Source organism: Homo sapiens, chromosome 6 (genome assembly GCF_000001405.40).
Source record: "Homo sapiens chromosome 6, GRCh38.p14 Primary Assembly".
NCBI lineage: Eukaryota > Metazoa > Chordata > Mammalia > Primates > Hominidae > Homo > Homo sapiens.
In genome coordinates this window covers 41,332,571-41,351,136 of record NC_000006.12, presented here as the reverse complement: position 1 = coordinate 41,351,136, position 18,566 = coordinate 41,332,571, and the positions used below count along the sequence as shown (strand labels likewise).

At 48.6% G+C, this 18,566-nt stretch overlaps 1 protein-coding gene across 4 annotated transcripts, besides 2 other annotated features; it reads right to left on the bottom strand.

Moving 5' to 3' along the window:
* Positions 1–247: 247 nt before the first annotated feature.
* NCR2 (natural cytotoxicity triggering receptor 2) lies at positions 248–15,529 on the bottom strand. Of its 4 annotated transcripts, none has more exons than NM_001199509.2 (6): positions 15,209–15,529; positions 14,709–15,050; positions 9,208–9,343; positions 8,988–9,137; positions 8,113–8,219; positions 248–459 (listed from the first exon to the last, which is right to left on the bottom strand). In NM_001199509.2, the coding sequence occupies exons 1-6, from the start codon at positions 15,258–15,260 to the stop codon at positions 434–436; spliced, it is 813 nt and encodes a 270-aa protein (NP_001186438.1). In that variant the 5' UTR covers positions 15,261–15,529; the 3' UTR covers positions 248–433. The 4 variants fall into 4 exon arrangements, with proteins under 4 accessions (NP_001186438.1, NP_001186439.1, NP_004819.2 ...); NM_001199510.2 differs by having other exon boundaries at positions 8,988–9,101; NM_004828.4 differs by lacking the exon at positions 8,113–8,219 and having other exon boundaries at positions 8,988–9,101.
* Positions 5,875–5,924: a silencer, noted in NCBI's record as "silent region_17177". NCBI's record gives its function as "represses an Ori minimal core promoter by ATAC-STARR-seq in GM12878 lymphoblastoid cells {active_cell/tissue: GM12878}" and the evidence as "EXISTENCE:reporter gene assay evidence [ECO:0000049][PMID:35858748]".
* Positions 16,782–16,911: an enhancer, noted in NCBI's record as "active region_24505". NCBI's record gives its function as "activates an Ori minimal core promoter by ATAC-STARR-seq in GM12878 lymphoblastoid cells {active_cell/tissue: GM12878}" and the evidence as "EXISTENCE:reporter gene assay evidence [ECO:0000049][PMID:35858748]".

Sequence of the window (18,566 nt, the reverse complement as noted above, 5' to 3'; positions counted from 1 at the left end):
AACCCAGGTCTTGTTTCCAAGCCTTGCTCGCCCACAGCCTTTCTACTCACTGGGCTTGTGTACAGTGCCCTTCCCTGATTATAACAGCATCTAAGGCAGCTCCCAGACGTACAGGGGACATCAGGTGAACTGAAGATAAGAAAGGGTTATGATGGAGGAAAGAGGGCAAACTAGAGAAGCTGGTCCCCTAGAGATCAAATGTGCGGATGCAGACAGAGTTTGAAGGAAACTTAGGAAACAACAGGAATAAAACATTCAGATAATTTTATTATTCACAAAGTGTGTTCATCATCATCATCGCTTATCTTAGTCCTTGCAACAGTGTGATATAATATTTCTCTCTCTACAGGTGAGGAAACTGAGGTCCAGGGAAGGTCCGTGACCTGTTGAAGGTGGCAGGTGGCTTTTTGGGTATCCAGGCTCCTGAGCTCCATCATGGTTTTCCACCATATGTCCCCCCTGCAATCAGAGCAGGAAACCAGGAAGGTGGTCAGAGACTGCCACATAATTGCACATAGGTGCAGAGGCAACCCCTTCCCCATCCCACTACTCGCAGGGTTGGTTGCCATACCCACCTCACAAGGATGAAGTCTGCTCCTGGCCACTGCTGCCAGAAAAGTGTCAGTGAGCATGCATGGATTTTGAGCCCAGTTTGGTCAGTTTCCTCACCCTGATTTTTTCCTTTATTTTCCTCTACTGTCCACCAAGAAGAGGGGCCTGTTTCCTTCAAGTCTCCAGGTTCACCCTCTGCCCACACACTATTATCTGTCTTTTCAGCTGCAGTAAGCTCTGGAAAGGCAGATGGTCTCTGCTGTGTCACAGTTGAGTCTGCTTTCTTCTACACCTCACTCCCTCTAAAACTCAGCCTTTGTTGGGTGTTCTCCTTTTGTCTGGTGCTTTTTGAATACATCACCCTACTTAGAAATCCAAATAGCTTGGTAATATGTGTGTTATCAGTTCTGTTTTTACCAATAAGAAGACTCGGGGTAGAGACCTTAAGAAACTTTTCCAGCATCATTTAGTTGGTAAAAAGGAAGGGGGTTCTTTGTTACACAATGGCAGAAAGTTTAGCAACACTGTCATCTGCAGTAATGTGGAAAGTAGAAAATGTCCCTCATGAGCTGGGTTGTACAGCTAGGATTTCCAGGCAAACTCTTGAAAGTGCTACCTGGTTTCTTCTTGTGGCTCATTGTGAAATGAGAGAGGTGAGAGGTAAACTCTAGGCAGGATTATTCAACATGAGGGAGCTGGGACTTGATGACTTAAAAAATTCTCAGCCTCCAGACAGTAAATGATGCTAAAATCAAATCCAGGGCACGTTCAGGAATATGTGGTCTAAAGATGAAACCAAGGCTATGCTGTAAAATCCTTTGTTAAGACCTCAGAAAGTTGTGTGTTTAGTAGGAAAAACCAAATTGTTTTCAGGTATGGAAGGGCTGGAGGGCAGGAGCTTCTGGTCTCTGTGGAGCTGGGGTGCACCATACCTCCCAGCACATGAATGTGTTCACCAACTCAGAAGCTCCTGAACCTTACTTTTGTGATTTTTACAGAGACTTCATCATGTCAGCTTGATTGATGATTAATGCAGTCTTCAGCCCCCTCCCCTCCCTGGGGTATGGGAGGTGGGGTGAAAGTTCCAAGCTTTCAATCATGGATTGATCCTTCTGGTGACCAGCCCCCATCCAAGAGCACACTAAGAGTCACCTCTTTAGAGGAAAAGATGCCAGGAAATTCCAAGGGAGGTAGGACCTCTGTGTTAGACACTCCTATCACTCAGGAGATTAGAAAGGTCTTAGGAGCTCTGTGTCAGGAGCAGAGGTCAAAGACCAAATATGAGAACAAAAGATTATCTTAGCACTCCCATTTATAAGGGTCTCAGGAGCTCTGTGTCAGGAACTAGGGTCAAAGAAATATATATATATATGAAAATTATATACATGATAATATATGCATAATATATAAAATTATAATTTATTTAAAATTATTAATAAAAATTAATATAAAATATATAAATAAAATATAAAAAATAAAAATATAAAAAATTTATAAAATATATTAAAAATATAATAAACTATAATAATTTATATAAAATTATAATGATTTCAATAATGTATAATAATTATTATTTCACATAGTGTCTCAGGCAAAAGGCCCTTTCATGAATTTAAGGGTGCGTGCTTCATAGATTTTTCAGTCGAACATTAGATCTTCTAAGAAGTATAAAGACATTATCCTCACTTTCTTGTCAGAAGCACATGGTGTGGAAGAGATCTTCTCTTGGAGAAATTTGTGGGTATGGTCTTTGTCTAATGGAGTGAGTCACAATAAGTTTTACAGGAGATCCACATTTTTTTTAAGAGAATGACAGTCACAAAACACTGCCAGATTGGACTGAAAGGAACAGAAATAGCATAAAATCTGGGATCTCACTTTGTATCCCCCAAATTAAACTGGCAGGAAGCAGCCTGAGGAAGTTACGAAGCTGTAAATATGGGCTGCCTTTCATGGAAAGAGAAGGGTGGCTCAGAAGACATACTCGAGCACAGAGGAAGGAGCCACGACCACTGAGAATTATTTCTAGGTAGGAGTTGAGCAGTGTCTGAATCAAGGAATTTCCAACATTTTCCCAGCTAAAGTTCTGATTTTCTAAGGACCAGTGACTTTTTTTTTTGTCTCCCCCTTCCACCTCTTTTGAACAAAAATATCTGTAGTGGTTTTCCTATGACTGTACTGCATTGGACATTGGGGTTGTGTGTGTGGCAGATAACTTGTCTCTAGCTCACAGGTCTTCATACTGAGAATTGTATTTGAGGAATTACACCTGAGGAATTTCCTCCACACCTGGACCTGGTTTAAATGATGAGTTCCTGGACCTCATCCTGACGCCATAATGGGATGAGACTTTGGGAGACCTTTGGTGGGACTGAGTGTATTTTTGCATGTGGGAGGAATGTAAATAATTTGTGGCCAGAGCAAGTACTGTGGTGGTTTTAAAATACAGGCACGAATTCTTTAATATACCTTCCTTCAAGGGTTGGAGGCGAATCCCATTGGGCTGGACCCAATGACTGGCTTCCGATGAGTAGAATATGGCAGAAGCAACGGTTTGTGATTTCAGAGACTAGGTTATTAATGGCACTATGACTTCCTCCTTCCGCACCCTCTCTTGGATCAGTCACACTTGGGAAGTTAGTTCCCTTGCCGTGAAGAAAGGCTCACATGGCAAAGCACTGAGGCCTGTGCGAGCAACCACATGAGGATGCACCGTCTTGGGCACGGCCCTCCATCAAGCCTCCCTACCACCGCACTTCTTGCTGACATCCTGACTGCGACACCAGAGAGGTTCTGAGCCAGGAACACCCAACTAAGTTGTTCCCAAATTTCTGATCACACCCCCATCCCCCCAAAAAACCTGTGACCTAATGAATATGTATCATTTGTTGTTTTAAGCTACTACGTTTTGGGGCTAATTTATTATGCAACATCAAATGAGTCAGGAGAAAGTCACAAGAGTTCTTTTTTCCTGGAAGCCCTGGAAGAAAGCATCTCAAGAAGGCAGAAGTGGGAGGCCATGCCTAGGGTGCTCCTCTTCCCAGGGTGAGGAGATTTCAGCATTGGCTGCTGGATTTCACAGTGCACAACTCACTGGAGGTGTTTCAAGGAGTGGCATAGTCAAAGGCCTGACTGGAGTGGCTTCAAGAGAGAAGAAAAGAGAATTTTGGAGGCTGATGGTGCAGCCAGTCCTTTCATGGGCCCTTGCTGCAGAGGACAATAAGATAATGGAGCAGTAGCTGGAGGGCTGTAGGTGGGGAGGGTTTAATATATTAGAGCCCATTTAGATTCTGATGGTCATGACATACAACCCGGGAAGATGATGCAGGAGAGAGGGGTGGCTCCTGGATGAATATTCCTTTTTCTATTTTAGACAGGGTCTTGCTCTGTCACCTAGGCTGGAGTGCAGTGGCACGATCATAGTTCACTGCAGCCTCCACCTCTCAGGCTCAAGCAATCCTCCTGCCTCAGCCTCCCAAGTAGCTGGGACCACAAGTACGCACCTCCATGCTCGGCTGGAATATTCTTGTGTAGACAAGAGAAGATGGTATTTGGAGCTGAAGGAAAGTGATTGGCTTGAGATAAGAGTAGGGAGAGTGAGAGGAAGAAGAGAGGCAGATGATTGGTAGGTGTGGTGGGATCAAGTGGACTTTCTTTTTTCTCCTTCCTTCCCTCCCTCCCTTTTCCTTCTTTCCTTCTTCCCTCCTCTTTTTCTCTTCCTCTCATTCTGTCCCTCCCTCCCTCCCTCCCTCCCTCTCTTTCTCTCTTTCCCCCTCTTTCTCTCTCTTTTCAGTGAGTTAGGATGTGGGCACACCAGCTGAGCATGTGGAGAGGGAGGACAGAGAATGATGTGGGTCTAGAATGGAGCAGAGCCACTCCACTCTCAAGGTCACGTGCTGACAGTGAGACATTTCGGGATGATAGATTGTATTTTGTCAGCCACAGCCACATTCATCTTGGCTGGACACAGGCACAGAGTAAGCAGGAAGCTAGGTTCAACCAGGGTTACAGTTTTCCCAGAGGAGTTCAATAAAAGGGGAGAGGAGCACAGAAGGGGAGGCTGTGTGCCAAAGACTGATTTGAGGTTGGATCATGGAATCTAAGGGAAAGGAAAGCATGGGTGAGATGGCGGAAAGGGGCGGGTGGCAGGATCAATGGATCATGGGTCCCTGTGGTGTTGAAGCAATACTGGGATCAGGTTAGCAGGACTGAGGTAGGGGGTGGTGGGAATGAGATTAAGAGGGGGGCTATTGGCGCTTACTGACCATCTGCAATGGTGGCTGAAATAGGGAAGAGGACGAGACCACTGGGGATAGGAGGCCAAGGAACTGTGATGCCAGAGATTTGGAAGAATCATTCATGTAGATCTTGTCTACGTGGGCCCAAGATCACAAAGAATTATGGCGGGAGCAGTCAGAGTGACGCTGAGCCTGGGGTTGAGACCCATGAGGAATAAAGAGCCGTGCCCCAGATTGTACAGAATCTGCAGTGATGATGGGTGGTCACCCACAGTGATACAGCCTAATGGCAGAAAGCTACTTGTGGAGTGCTTTAGGGAGGATCAGAAGATAGGAAGGGGCTGTGAGGGGCACAGAGGACACTGACCCCACCCTTGGGCTCAGGAGCATGAGGCAAAGGAGAACAAACCGCCTCCCTCCCCCCGCAAGAGAACTGCGGAGAAAGCATTGTCCTCGGAGAACAGGCAGATGTCAGGGAGAGTACCGCGGTGACGTTCAGAGAAGCTGAGCATACAGGAGCTTGTGCTGATGACTGCGCACTTCAGGTGCAGGGTGGAAAGGTTATGGGATTTGGGACGAGTGGGAATTGGGGCTAATGTCATGGATTTACAAGGTCTTACTGAGTTGGGATTCTGGGTGATGAGGGAGGACCAGGGCATCCTGGGCATCTTATGGCAACTAGAGTGAACAGGGATATAATAAGGCACCAAGAGGCTGTACTGGAGTCTGAGTGCTGACCTTGGGGGAAGGGGAGGGGGCCAGGAGTCTTTACAGGAGCAAGTGGAGACCTGGGATCTCACTTGCTCCTGCCCTTGGTGGCGGGTGCTGGGGAGGGGTGTTTTGATGGAAAATCTGGGGTCCCTCCTCACTCTTGCCAAGAAGGTGAAAGCAGCAATAACTGGATAAAAATGGCATAAACCCATCCTCAAAGATAAACAGAGAGCTCCATACATGTTTTGAAGGTGGGTAAAATCAGATGACTTCACAGATCAGAGAGAGCTGGTGGGAGTGGGGGAATAAGAGGGAAGTCATTTTTACCTTGGAACCCCAGAAAGTTGGAGAAATGGGAGGTGCAGGTATCTCTTAAGGCAGGGTTGAAGTGGGTGCTGGAAACCAGAGAACAGGTTGGAACTTTAAGAATCACTTAGACTCCTAGATTCTCTGGCTTCCGTGAGACTGAGAGTAGGTTAGCTGCCCACATCCTCTGTCTTTCCTCTCTCTCAACAGCTGCAGAGAGCTTGAGGTAAGTCTCTGATGAGGGTGACACAGAGATGCTCTGCTCAGGGCACAGGGCGCCACAGAGAGAGAGTGTGCAGTGGGGGCCTGGGTGGGAACAGACATTGGGCAGCGAGACCCCTTTGCTCTGTTCCAGTTGGTGCCTAGAACCCTGGGTCTAGACTTACACTCCCAGGAAGGACAGCTAAGAGTCCTTTCTAGAGAAACAGAGCTGTGAAAGAGAAAAAATGGAGCCATACTCCCGCCCAATCCGCCTGGAGCCCACAGCACCCCGCGGCCCGCATGGGGCTTCTAAGCAAGTGGGTGGCCGAGAAGCGGCAAAGGTTTCCAGAAAGCTCTGAAGAAAGACAGAGGTCAATGAAAGGAGAAAATAAAAGATATGATGGGCACTTGGAGGACATAGAAAATATGGAAAGCTTCGGAAAAGTTCAAAAGTTAAAACTTTAATATTTCCAGAGAAAATGTGGCTTGCCAAAATAAAACATGCTGTGCTATAAAAAGGAACATTCGGAGAACAAATGGACCGTTTAGAAATGAAAAATGTGATCGTGTACATTGAAAACATTTGAATAGAATGTAACCTTGGGGAACTTTCTCAGAAAGTAGGAATAAAGAAAAATAGATGACAAACAGGAGAGAAAAGATAATCACGTCAGTCTCAGTCTGGTAGGTCCAACATCGGGATTGTAAGCGTCAGAAAGAGACAACAGCACTGTGGGGGTGACAGGCCTGGGGCAAGGCACGGAGTGATCTTGAATGTGGCGAGTTGAGGCGCCTCTTGACCAGCTTGTGCAGGAAAAAAGAAAGGTTCACTTCCTTGTGGAGGCTGCAGCCATGTTGGTGGTGGTAAGGACAGCACAGTGGGGTGCTGTGCTACAGGGGTGGCTGATCTAGGCAAAGCATTATTGGGACCCCAGTAACGACACTGGACTTCAATTCCTGGGTGGCAGAAATGCACAGAGGTATTGTTGGGAAGGGACATATCAGGGGAACAATCTAGGAGGCGGGGACTGAAGACAGGACCCCCTGTTAGGTGGCTGACACAGTGGTCCGAGTGCCAGTGTGAGGTGAAGGGGCTTGGAAAGGGGGAGGAGGCACAATAGGAGAGGCCTTGGCAGAGTGTGGCTGAGCAAGGGCAGAGGGAGAGGGAAACGTTGGGGTGACCCAGGCGTCTGGATTTGGGGTGTTAAATCAGAGTAATAAGAGGCCATTGATTTAGACTGAGCTCCTGCACTAGGCCCAACAGCCCAAACCAAAATGGGGTCACTGGTGCTAAGGTTCCACACCACCAAGCCAAAACCAAGTTGTTTATCTCACCTTCCGAGAAATTAGGAGAGAGAGGTAACAGCCAAATCCCTGAACAGGTCAGTTTTAGCCGGTATGGTAGGGAAATCCCCTCTGCTTTAACCTTTTACCAAGAAGGTAACTTTGAAATGACCAATTTCTTTTTGTTCCTTGTTTCCGCTTTCTTCAGTCTTTTTTTCTCTCTACAACTGCCCAGGTTGCAGAGCAGAGTTCTCTAAACCTCTTCTGGTTCTGAGGGCTGCCCAATTTGCAAATCGTTCTTTGCTCAGATAAACTCTGTTAAATTTATTTTGTCTAAAGTGTTTCTTTTCTTCTTTTCTGTTTTAGAGACAAGGTCTCACTCCGTGGCTCAGGCTGGAGTGCAGTGGCGTGATCATGGCTCACTGCAACTGGGAACTCTTGGCTTCAAGCCATCCTTTAGCCTTGGCCTCCCACAGTGGTGGTATTACAGGTGTCAGCCACCAGCGTTCCAGGCCTCACGTTTTTCTTTTATCAGGGGCTATAGATAGGAGGAGGAGGCAGGGAAGAGGGAATGTCATCAGTGACTCAGGTTTGGTAGAAAGATGCTGCAGGCGCTGGGCTTTGCTCCCACAACGGGGTGCTGGCCGCAGTGCAAACTGAGGGTGAGCAAGTAGAGGGCCTGGGTTCTGCAGCTCTGCAGGGAGAGCGTGGCTAAAGGCCTTGGATCAAGTCCTGGCCTTTTCTTTGCGGATAACAGCAGAGGTCAGAAGTCAGGGAGGAGCTGCTGGGAGCCCAGCCTTGTTGGAGACTGGCCGCCCACCTGGTGCCCTGTGGCTCAGTGGGAAGTGTCTATGGGCCTGGGGCCTGGGCTGAGCTGGGTGCAGCAGAGACCTCCCTTGATGCTGCATGTGCCGATTCCTTAAAACCCTTGAGATGAGGGGAGAAATACATGAAGTGACTTGAATCCGTTCTCACACCCTGTCCCTTTCCCCAAGCCTGCCCCTCCTCCAGCAAGCCGGCTCCTGGCCTGACTGAGTTGTCCCTGCACCTTTCACTCAGCCCCACCTATGGTTTTTTCCCATGTGTCCCCTTCTCCCTGGGGGCTGTTTCCCTCCTGTGTCTACCCTCTCTCCCTCAGGACTAGAATGAGGCAGAGTCCTGGGATGGTGGCTTTAGGGAGTCCCTGGACTTGGGCTTGCCTGGAAGGGCAGGTAGTGGGAGGGACTTTCCAGCTGTGTAGGTCTGTGTTTCTGATGGAGGGATGGGGGAGTGGAAGGACAGGGGAGAGGGAAGGAGAGAAGGAGAAAGGTAGAGGGAAGAAGAGGAGAGGAGGGAGGGGTAGAGAGACAGGGAGAGAGGAAGGGGGTGGAATGGGAAAGAGGGAGGGGGAGGAATGGAGAGAGAAAGGGAGGAAAAGGGAGCAGGGGGAAGAAAGAGAGAGAGAGGGAGAGAGAGAGGAGAAAACACAGAGACAGAGAAACATGGATGAGATTCCTGCAAGTTTGCAGCTGAAGGACAAAGGTGAGCCTGTGTGACATGTCAGATGGATGGACTCCATGAGGGCTTTAATTTGGAGAGCTCTGCCGATTATAATTTCCACCTCTGTTCTCTGGCCGATTCCCCTCTGACCCTCTATCCTGGGCAGAAGCTGTTCCCTGTTCCATTTTCCCCGAGTTCAACCCACACCACACTCACCACCAGACGAGCAGGGCTGACAGCACCAGGCTCTTGGCTACGAGGAGTCCACAGAACACAGGCACCAGGGCAATGGGGGCTGCAGGGCCAGGGCGGAGCGTGGAGTTCTGTGGCCTGGAAGGCAGAGGGACAGGAAGGGGAGAGGACGGGCTGGGGAGGCAAGTCTCCATCTGCCAGCCCCCGCCCAGGCCTGTGTGGCTACGGGCACCCCGAAACTCACTGTGAAGGGACAGGGATGGTAGATGGAGACTCAGGGGCTTGTCTGGCTCCTGCAGTGGGAGGCACACAGCTCTGGGTCTGGGTCTGTGAAGAGACCAGGTCGCGGGGAGTCCAGGAGGTCTGTGTGGAGGCAGAGGCTGCCAGGGAGGAGAAAGAGCGTGGTTAGTGAGTGGGAGACCTCACTTGTGCCTGCCGGCAGGAGAGCTGGATGGGGGAGTTGGACCAGACTGGGAACAGAGCCCATGCGCCCAGAGAAGAAAACTAATTTGAGGGGTGGGGACTGAACTGTGAAGTCCTCTGGCTCAGAATTAGACACACCTGTGGCCTGGGCTCTACTGGGCCCCTGCAGTTGTATCCTTGAGTCTAGGAGGAGCACTGGAAGAGGACTCAGGAGGCACTCGAGTCTTTGGATGGGCACCCATCCGAGCCTCCTAAGGGTGGACATGGCCATGATGCTTCGGGCCCCTTCGGCTCTCTGCCCTCCATTCTCTTTCTCATGCCTCTGGGACTTGGGAAGGGAGCCTCTTGTGGGGAATTTGAAGGGTAGTTTTCAGATCCCTGCCCCTCCCAGTTCTGCTGCACAGCCCTGGACCCCAAGTCTCAGCAGCCTAGGGAATGCCTTTCACAGCCCCTCTTGACTCTGGGACTCTGTGAACCGGCTGCGCACCACTCCTGCTGTTCACCTTCCCAGGAAGATCCAGACCCACCTGTGCTTAGAGCCCTTGGTGGAGGTGGGGAATGGCTGTCTCTGGAAAAGTGATGGGGACTGTTGAGGTCGAAAAGGCATTGGCTGTTGGCGGGTGGTGGGGTGGCGAAGGAAAAGAAAGTAGGGTTGGAACCAAGGCTGGGAGAGGAAGTGGGGATTATCAGTGTCTCGACCTAGCAGACTAGGTCTACATACCTAACTGGAGTCCAGGAGGTGGGGAGAAGGGGAAAGAAGGGGAAAGGGCTGGGAGGGGCCTGGAGGAGAGGGTGCCTGAGGCTGAGTCATTCCTCGTCCCAGAGACTGCCCTGGAAGGTCCTCCCTGGAGAGAGTCACAGGCCTATGGACCTGTGGGCACGATCCTGTCCCATAGAACACTCTCTGAGGCTGTCTAGGATGCTGGCCAGGATAACCCTGTGCTCAGCCTGGGAGAGGTGTTTGGGACACTCTGGTAAAATCCTAGACATGTGCTATTGAATGTGTCATCTATGGCCTGGTGCTGGTCTACAAATTGTCTGTAACCCTTCCACAACAAGGGAAGTATAAAAATTGGGAGTAGGGGTTTCAAAACGTTTATATCAATTTGATACTGCCTCAAGATCCAAGCCCGTGATTAGTTAACTCGTCTCATCTCATTGAACAGGATATAGACCAGCTTGGGTGTTGTCAAATTAGCATGGAGGGTCGAATATGGAGTGAGCTGTGTGCTAGTAACCTATGCCAGAGCCATGTTACAGTGTGTGATACTTTAAAATTACTTGTTAGCGGCCAGGCGTGGTGGCTCACGCCTGTAATCCCGGCAGTTTTGGAGGCCGAGGCAGGTGGATCACTTGAGGTCAGGAGTTTGAGACCAGCCTGGCCAACATGGTGAGACCACGTCTCTACTAAAATACAAAAAATTAGCCAGGCGTGGTAGCAGGCGCCTGTAATCCCAGCTACTTGGGAGGCTGAGGCATGGGAATGGGTTGAACCTGGGAGGTGGAGGTTGCAGTGAGCCGAGATCGCGCCACCGCACTCCAGCCTGGGTGACAGAGTGAGACTCTGTCTCACAATAAATAAATAAATAAATAAATAAATAAAGTTGTTAGCTATAGCCCAAAAGTGTATAAACATCTCGAAAGATGTATAATTTTATGATTTATTATTTTTACAATCATTTTAATTTTTAATCAAACTTTTTTTAAACAAAATTTAGAGTGTAACATGATTAGCTAAGTTAGAGTAGAATAGTGATTACCTAATTAGCATTCTAATGAACAGATAGCAAAACAAAAATCACTGAAAAAAAACATCTTTCCTGAATGTGGCAGTGACAGTAAGCCAGATGAAGATGGTAGAACTGATTCTAAATAAATTTTTTCCTTCTGCAGTTATTCCAAAGAGTTTGTGCTGGTTTTGTTTGAAAGTAGAATCTCTCATTGTGGTAGGCAGAATACGGGTACCCCAAAATGTCTACTCCCTAATCCCAGGTACCTGTGAGGACATTGCCTTCCATGGCAAAGGGAAATTTGCAGATGTGATTAAGGTTGAAGACCTTGAGTTGGGTCAGGTGCAGTGGCTCACGCCTGTAATCCCAGCACTTTGGGAGGCCGAGGAGGGCGGATCATGAGGTCAGGAGATCGAGACCATCCTGGCTAACATGGTGAAACCCCATCTCTAGTAAAAATATAAAAAAATTAGCCGGGCATGGTGGCGGGCACCTGTAGTCCCAGCTACTTGGGAGGCTGAGGCAGGAGAAGGTGTGAACCCAGGAGGCGGAGCTTGCAGTGAGCCGAGATCACACCACTGCACTGCAGCCTGGGTGACTGAGTGAGACTCTGTCTCAAAACAACAACAATAACAACAACAACAAAAACAAGTGGCATAGTCTGGGCATGGTGGCTCAAGCCTGTAATCCCAGCACTTTGGGAGGCCGAGTCAGGCGGATCACCTGAGGTCACGAGTTCAAGACCAGGCTGACCAATATGGTGAAACCCCATCTCTACTAAAAATACAAAAATTAGCCGGGTGTGGTGGCAGGCGCCTGTAGTCCCAGCTACACCGGAGGCTGAGGCAGGAGAATCGCTTGAACCCTGGAGGTGGAGGTTGCAGTGAGCCGAGATTGCACCACTGCACTCCAGACAGAGCGAGACTCCGCCTCAAAACGAAATAAAACAAAACAAAAAAACAAGTGGCATATACATATAAAACGGAAAAACACAAGTTCACAACAAACTGTTTTTAGGAGAAAAAAGAGTATTGGATTGAAAAGCTCTTGAAAGGAATCCATACTTCACATATAAGCTCTAGACTTTGTGGCTTCTTGTAAAGTAACATTTTGTACTGCAAAGACCAACAATCCATCTACAATTGCCAAAACATTACTGAACAACGTTTGCTTTACGACATTGGGTAATTTATAGCAAAGAAGGGAGCTTGATATCATTTTCCCTTGACGCCTTAGGTCAACATATTCAGGAATTGGATAACAAGATGGATGACCATCTCCTAGAACAAATAAAGCTAGCAAAGTATTTTTCATGGCAATTTGAAAAAATGTACAAATATTGCTAACATAGCTATTCTTTTAGTATATGCAATTTGAACACAATGATATGAAGGAATTCTGTATCTTTTAGCTTAATTGTCACAAACACAACTAGCTCTGAATGTATAAAACTATGAAGGTTATATTATCAAAATGTGGTTTGGGGTTAAGTTTTATGTAAGAGTATGTTCTGATGGCTGCAGTTGCAATGACAGGAAAATGTCATCCAGGTTAAGAAGTCTTGGGCTAGATTTTAAATTAATGCACTGCTTCCTTCATTGAGAGAGTTTTACTATGAAAAAAAAGCAGCTTAACTGAACGTTGTGCTGACCAACATGGACAGAATTGTGAATTTTATAAGGTGAATATATTAAATTTGAAATCATTCTCTTTATTATGTGGTAATATGGAAACAGATCATAAACAGCTACTGTTGCATGCCAAATTTAAAGTTTTGTTGAGCATGTTTCATCTATAGGAAGAATTCCTAATTAAGACAAGAAGCCAGTTTAGTACAAATGTGAATTGTACCATCAGACTTGTTTATACTGTAGTTCTGAAGTTAATATTTCCATGCAAGGAAGTAAAGCGACATGTTTTTCAATGGCAAGTAAAGTCTAAGTGCAAACATAAAAGTCAGAAGAACCATTTCTATGAATTGTTATGACATGTTCTTAATTTAATAACATTTATCAACAAAATAAGTGATAATATTGATATTGCATATCTTCACAAGTGCTCATGGGAAAACATTAATAATTTGATAGCATGTTTTGAATTTCGTTTTTTTGTCAGAAGAAGATATATGCAGAGGAAATTCATAGATCTAGAATCCATATTTTCCCATCGAAAGATAATTTAAACTATAAGTTTTAGGATAAAGTTTTGGAACTGGCTACTGATAAAGGATTGAAGATGCATTTTGAAATTACAGCATCGCTTGCTTCCTTTTGTAAAAGTTAAATATAAAACTGTTGAGCTTGTCGGAATTGCTTTAAAATTTCTTCTATTTCTGACATTATACCTCCGTGAGACCAGTTTTCTGGGCTTCTACTGTGAGTATTATTTTAAAAAAAATCAACACAATTTCTTTATACATTATCTCCTAAGTGATGTGGTGTCATAAATAGTTCTCAGATTAGGAAAGTTACCAAGTAAGAAAAGTGCTCATTTGTCACATTATAATCCTTAAAAACGGAAAGACAGGGTGTTTGTTTGAAGGGTGCATATTGGCATTTAATATGGAGAACTGCAATTTCCCTTCTAGCTTTGTACTTAGTTTTAACTGAGGAATGACAAAACGTTATGGGTATACCGTTAAGCCACTACATCAATCACCTTTAGGCACACTTTCAAATGAACAATGTATACAGTTTTTATAAATTTTTCCCTATGTGATATTTGTTCTGATTGTATTCATTAAAATGTAATTTTATGTTTGTCAAATTTAATAAATGTTGGGCTTGTACTTTATATATCTTTTTCTTATTTTTCTAGTAATTTTTTTTTACTGTATTTTACAAAAAAAATTACTCATGTGAATTGCAGATTTTTTTTTAGAAGGTCCTCTTCCACAGGAACTGTGGGTAGCTCTGCTCTGAGCAGGAGTTTGGCACACTTTCTGTAAAGGGTCAGGGATGAGCCATGTGGTCTCTGTCACAGCTGCTCAATTTTGCTGTCACAGCATGAAAAGGGCCACAGACAATAGGTAATTGAGTGGGCATGGCTGTGTTCCAAAAAATAACTCCACTTATAGGCACTGAAATTTGAATTTCCTGTATGTCACAAAATATTGTTTTTCTTTTGATTTTTTTTCACTCATTCTTAGTTTTTTTCACTCATTCTTAGTCCCCGATCTGGACTATGAGGGATACCCATAGTATCTTGGTATCTAGACTACCCAGATACCACTGGCTCTACATGGTGGGGGCAGCCAGTGGATGCACCTTTCCTGGGCACCTACTATGTACCAAAGATGCCGGGTGGTCCTGCCCTCCTGTAGCAGGGTCATATAGGCTGACTGGTCAGCATGCTCACCGGGTCTGTTTCAGCATCTCTCAGGAGGCCCAGGCTGCAGGCTTGGGAGTCATGCAGACTGTGAGATGGCTGCTCTTGTGCACATATGAGTTCCCCCTGCACCTGTTCCCAACAGCCTTCCCAGGAGACTGGGGCGTGGGCATGGGTGGCTTCCACGATTGGGAAACCAGGGGTGATGGAGGCACCAAAAGGGGGTGAGGGGCACCCCTCTGAGGACCCTAGGGAAAGAGCTCACCTGGAGATACCACCAGATAGAATCTGACGGACTTAGAGACAGAGTTGTCAGAAGGGCGGTAGATTCTACACCAGTAATGTCCTGAGTCTTCCTCTCTCAGATCAGTCATGGTGACAGTGAAGAAGCCAGCATCAGGGTCGTCCCAGATTGTGAATCGAGAGGTCCAAGCCATCGTCCTGGGCTTGGAGCTGGTGACTAACCTGATGCACACAAGTGCTGAAGCCTCCTTACACCAGCCTTTCTTCTCGTAGAGACTGCCCGTGGGCGGGTACTGGCATCTCACGGTTAGCGTCTGCCCTGCCACACTTTGAAGTACCTGAGCCTTGGATTGTGCCTGAGAGCCTGGAGAATGATGAAGTAACGCATAGGTCAAGGCCACGCGCACAACCTGCCTCACAGCAGGCCTCTGGCCACAGAGCCACCTGCTCCCTGACCCTGCTGTCCTGACAGTCCCCACCACACCCATCTCCTCTGCTCCCTGGGCTCCTCCTCCCCCTCACCTGGGAACAGCAGCAGCAGCAGTAGCAGTGGGTGTAGGGCTCGCCAGGCCATGTGGTCCTTTTCCTGTGCGCTCATGGGAGGGGACACCTGGAGAAGACTGGGGAGAGGGAATTGGGAGCTGGGCCTGATTCTGCTGCTCTTCCAGCACGTCTGATAGAAAAATGAGACAGGCTGAGGCCTGGGTTGGGGAGATGGGAGACTGCAAAGGGCAGATTCTGTGGGCACAGGGAAGTGGGGATCTCCAGCTGTAGGTGAGTCTGGGTCTGGTGGGCTCGGCGCTGTCTGGCACACAGCTTCCCAGGCCTCTGTAGAAGATGCCTGCTCTCCCCTGTGCCCAGCTGCCCCTCCCCACCATGACCTACCCCTGAGGGAGGAGCTGAAAAGGCCAGGAGGAAACTGTGGGCGAGTTATGGACTGCTTCCCCCTTGCTCCCTCTGTGTGCTGCCTCTCTTCTTTGCAGGGCCCTAGCTTTGCCGCCCTTTCCAGGGAAAGGCAGGCTGAGGGTGGATGACAAACTCAGGGGCACTTGGAACCCTGATCACAAGCCCCAAGCCTCACTGGTCACAGGATGGCCAGGGACGTCATGCCCAGGCCTCCATGGTGGGTCAGTGATGTGCTTCCACTCTGGGAGTTTCGTGGGTGCGGGAAAGGAGAGGGGAGAGGAGGTGGAGATTCAAAACCAGCAAGGGAGGCTAGGGAGGGTCCCTGGCAAAGGTCGGGGAGGGGAGGGTGGGAAGAGCACACGGAGCATGGGATGCATCAGTGGGGTGGGGTAGAGGGAGCCCAGGAACCAGGACCTGGCCTCATCTCTGCATCCTGGACCTCTGCCACTTAAGGACCCTGGAGAAATATTGTTTAATTAAAACATAAACAGATGAAAGACTCTAGCATATTTTTCTTTAGTTAATGTCAGCACTTTGAAGATTCAGTTTTAAAATACGATGCAATTTACAAAGAGAACGAGCTAATATATCTTAGGACTGGTAGAGACACTGTGTGTAATTGCAGTTGCACCACTGGGGGCTCTGCTGGACTGGCGATCTGCTGCCGGGAGCTCTGTGAACAGAGGTAATAACTGAGACGGGAATTGGAACTTGTCAAGTGGACTCGATTCCAAGTCCACTGCTTTGCCTGCCCCTGGACTCCTGCTCTCCACTCCATCTCAGTACACTGCCCTTCTCCTTACAGTAGGAGTATGCAGAGACTGAGAATGGGAAAGGCAGAGGGGTATGCAAAAGGAGGACACAGTAGGGCTATCAGATGTTGGCGCCCAAGGGCCCAAGGTGGGAAAGCAGGCTGGAGCTCCAGAGCTAGAAGACAGCTCAGGGAGCGATGCCCGCCACTCACTCACACAAGCATTATTTACAAAGCATTCTCATGCACACTTTCTCAAGACCCTCAGCAGGTTCGCGAGGGAGACATTACTTCTCTTTTTCACAGATGTGAGAACTGAGGCCCAGATATGGTCAGCCACCTGCTCAGAGTCACACAGGACCAGAACAGGCCTCCTGACTTCGGTCTGGAGCCTTCCGGCTGGTCTGGTTGAAATGCGACCCACAGACATGACAGGAAACCAGGGGTGAGAAAGAGGCTCCCACTGAATTGCACACACAGGCGGAGGTGAGCTTTTAGGGGGTTTCCTCGCCGACAGTGGGGCCCAGCTTCTCCCTGAACATAATTACATACCAAATCAGGGTGGGGGCATCCTCCCGAGGGGGAGGAAGGCGGCCCTGTCCTCAGATGGCACCGAGGCACGTCACCGTGTGTGTGTGTGTGTGTGTGTGTGTGTGTGTGTGTGTGTCAGCAACTGTGTTCCCATGCTGACTTTCCCCTTCTCTGACCCCTGCTGACTCTAAGTGACAGCTCCTTCTTGTAGCTTACAAGAGCACCCCTTGCTATGTGCCACTAGCTGTGTGTCTCTTCAGCCTGCAGCCAGCTCTGTATCGTTCTCTGCTGTGTCAGAGTGTGTCGTCTCTCCCCAGGGGACAGGAGCTCTCAAAGCGGGGAATCTGCCCCTCTCTCTGTGTTGTGGCTTCCCCACCTGTGTGAGTGGGGTGGGCACCCTCCACATAGACTTGGGGCCTTGAGCACCCTAGGGGGAGGCCCCTGCTGGAACCATCTGCACGCTCAGCTTCCTCTGGCATCTGGGACCTGGGGGCAGGGAAGCCTGGGCTTAGGCAGCCCCTCATCCAGGCTGGGACTGGCCCTGCTCCCTGGGGACCCACAACAGCCCTTGTCACAAGTTGAATTTCTGCAGGAGGGACTGGGGCAGGTAGCTGTGGTGGGATCTGGGGCCCTTTCAGAAGTCTCTTGAAGAGCTAGGGATAGTGCCTCCCCCTTGGCACGATCAGAGCAGGGCACAGCAAAGTCCTGTCAAAGAGCCTGGGGTTCTGGGGGATTCTGGGTTCCCTGCCCACCCTCTGAGAAGGTCCCTCAGAGAACTTGGGAACCTCAGCAACCTCCTCTCCCAAACTCATTGTCACACACACTCACAGGAACCCAGAGAAGGAGCTGGGAGAGCTGGAGACTTCATGTACTTGCTTTTCTAGCAAGGCCCAGTCTAGCCTGCAACAGTGGCTCCGAGCCTGGGTAGGTCCATGGGAAGGGAGGGCTGGCCTCTGATGCAGAAATGGGGAAAGCAGGGAGCCGTAGAGGTCTGGAGGTGATCCCCAAAACGCAGCACAGGGCTAAGCTAGGCTGGGCAGGGGTGAAGGGGTAGCTGTAAATTTCCCCCATGATAGAACCAGAAGTAGCAGGGACAAAAGGGAATTTCTCTCAGTGCTGATTTCACAACTGAGGGAGATGAGGTCCAGAGAAGGCAAGTAGCCTTTCCACAGTCACTCAGCTATTTCAGGGCCAAACCAGGACTAGCACCCAGGCCTCCTCTCTCCTGACCTGGTGCTCCTCCTGGGCTCAGAGATTCTCCATGGGCACTTCCTTACTCTTCATCCAGGCTTGCCTTTTGCAGATCCAAGGAGTCTTCTCCCTGAACCCCAACAAGTCTGCTTATACCTCTGACCCCAATGGCTCTCTGCCCCAGCTCCAGCAGGATCCTTCAGTCATCAATTGCCCTGACAGGGTTATTCCTGCTCCCATGACAATGGTCCCATAACAATGGCCCTTCCTGGTCCCAGGATGCCAGGTTCAAAGCATCTGGTCTCAGAGCAGCTTTTTCCCTGCCAGAGAGGTCAGAGGGACCTGAGCTACTGCCCACACAAGGCTGCAGTCTGGGCGCACAGCTCCCTCACAGGAAGTTCAGGGTGGGTCAGGCACAGAACCAGGCTTCCACCCTAAGCACCCTGCGGGAGGCCTGGGCTCAGGGAGTGCAGGAAGCAGCCATCTCCCCAGCTGGGTTCT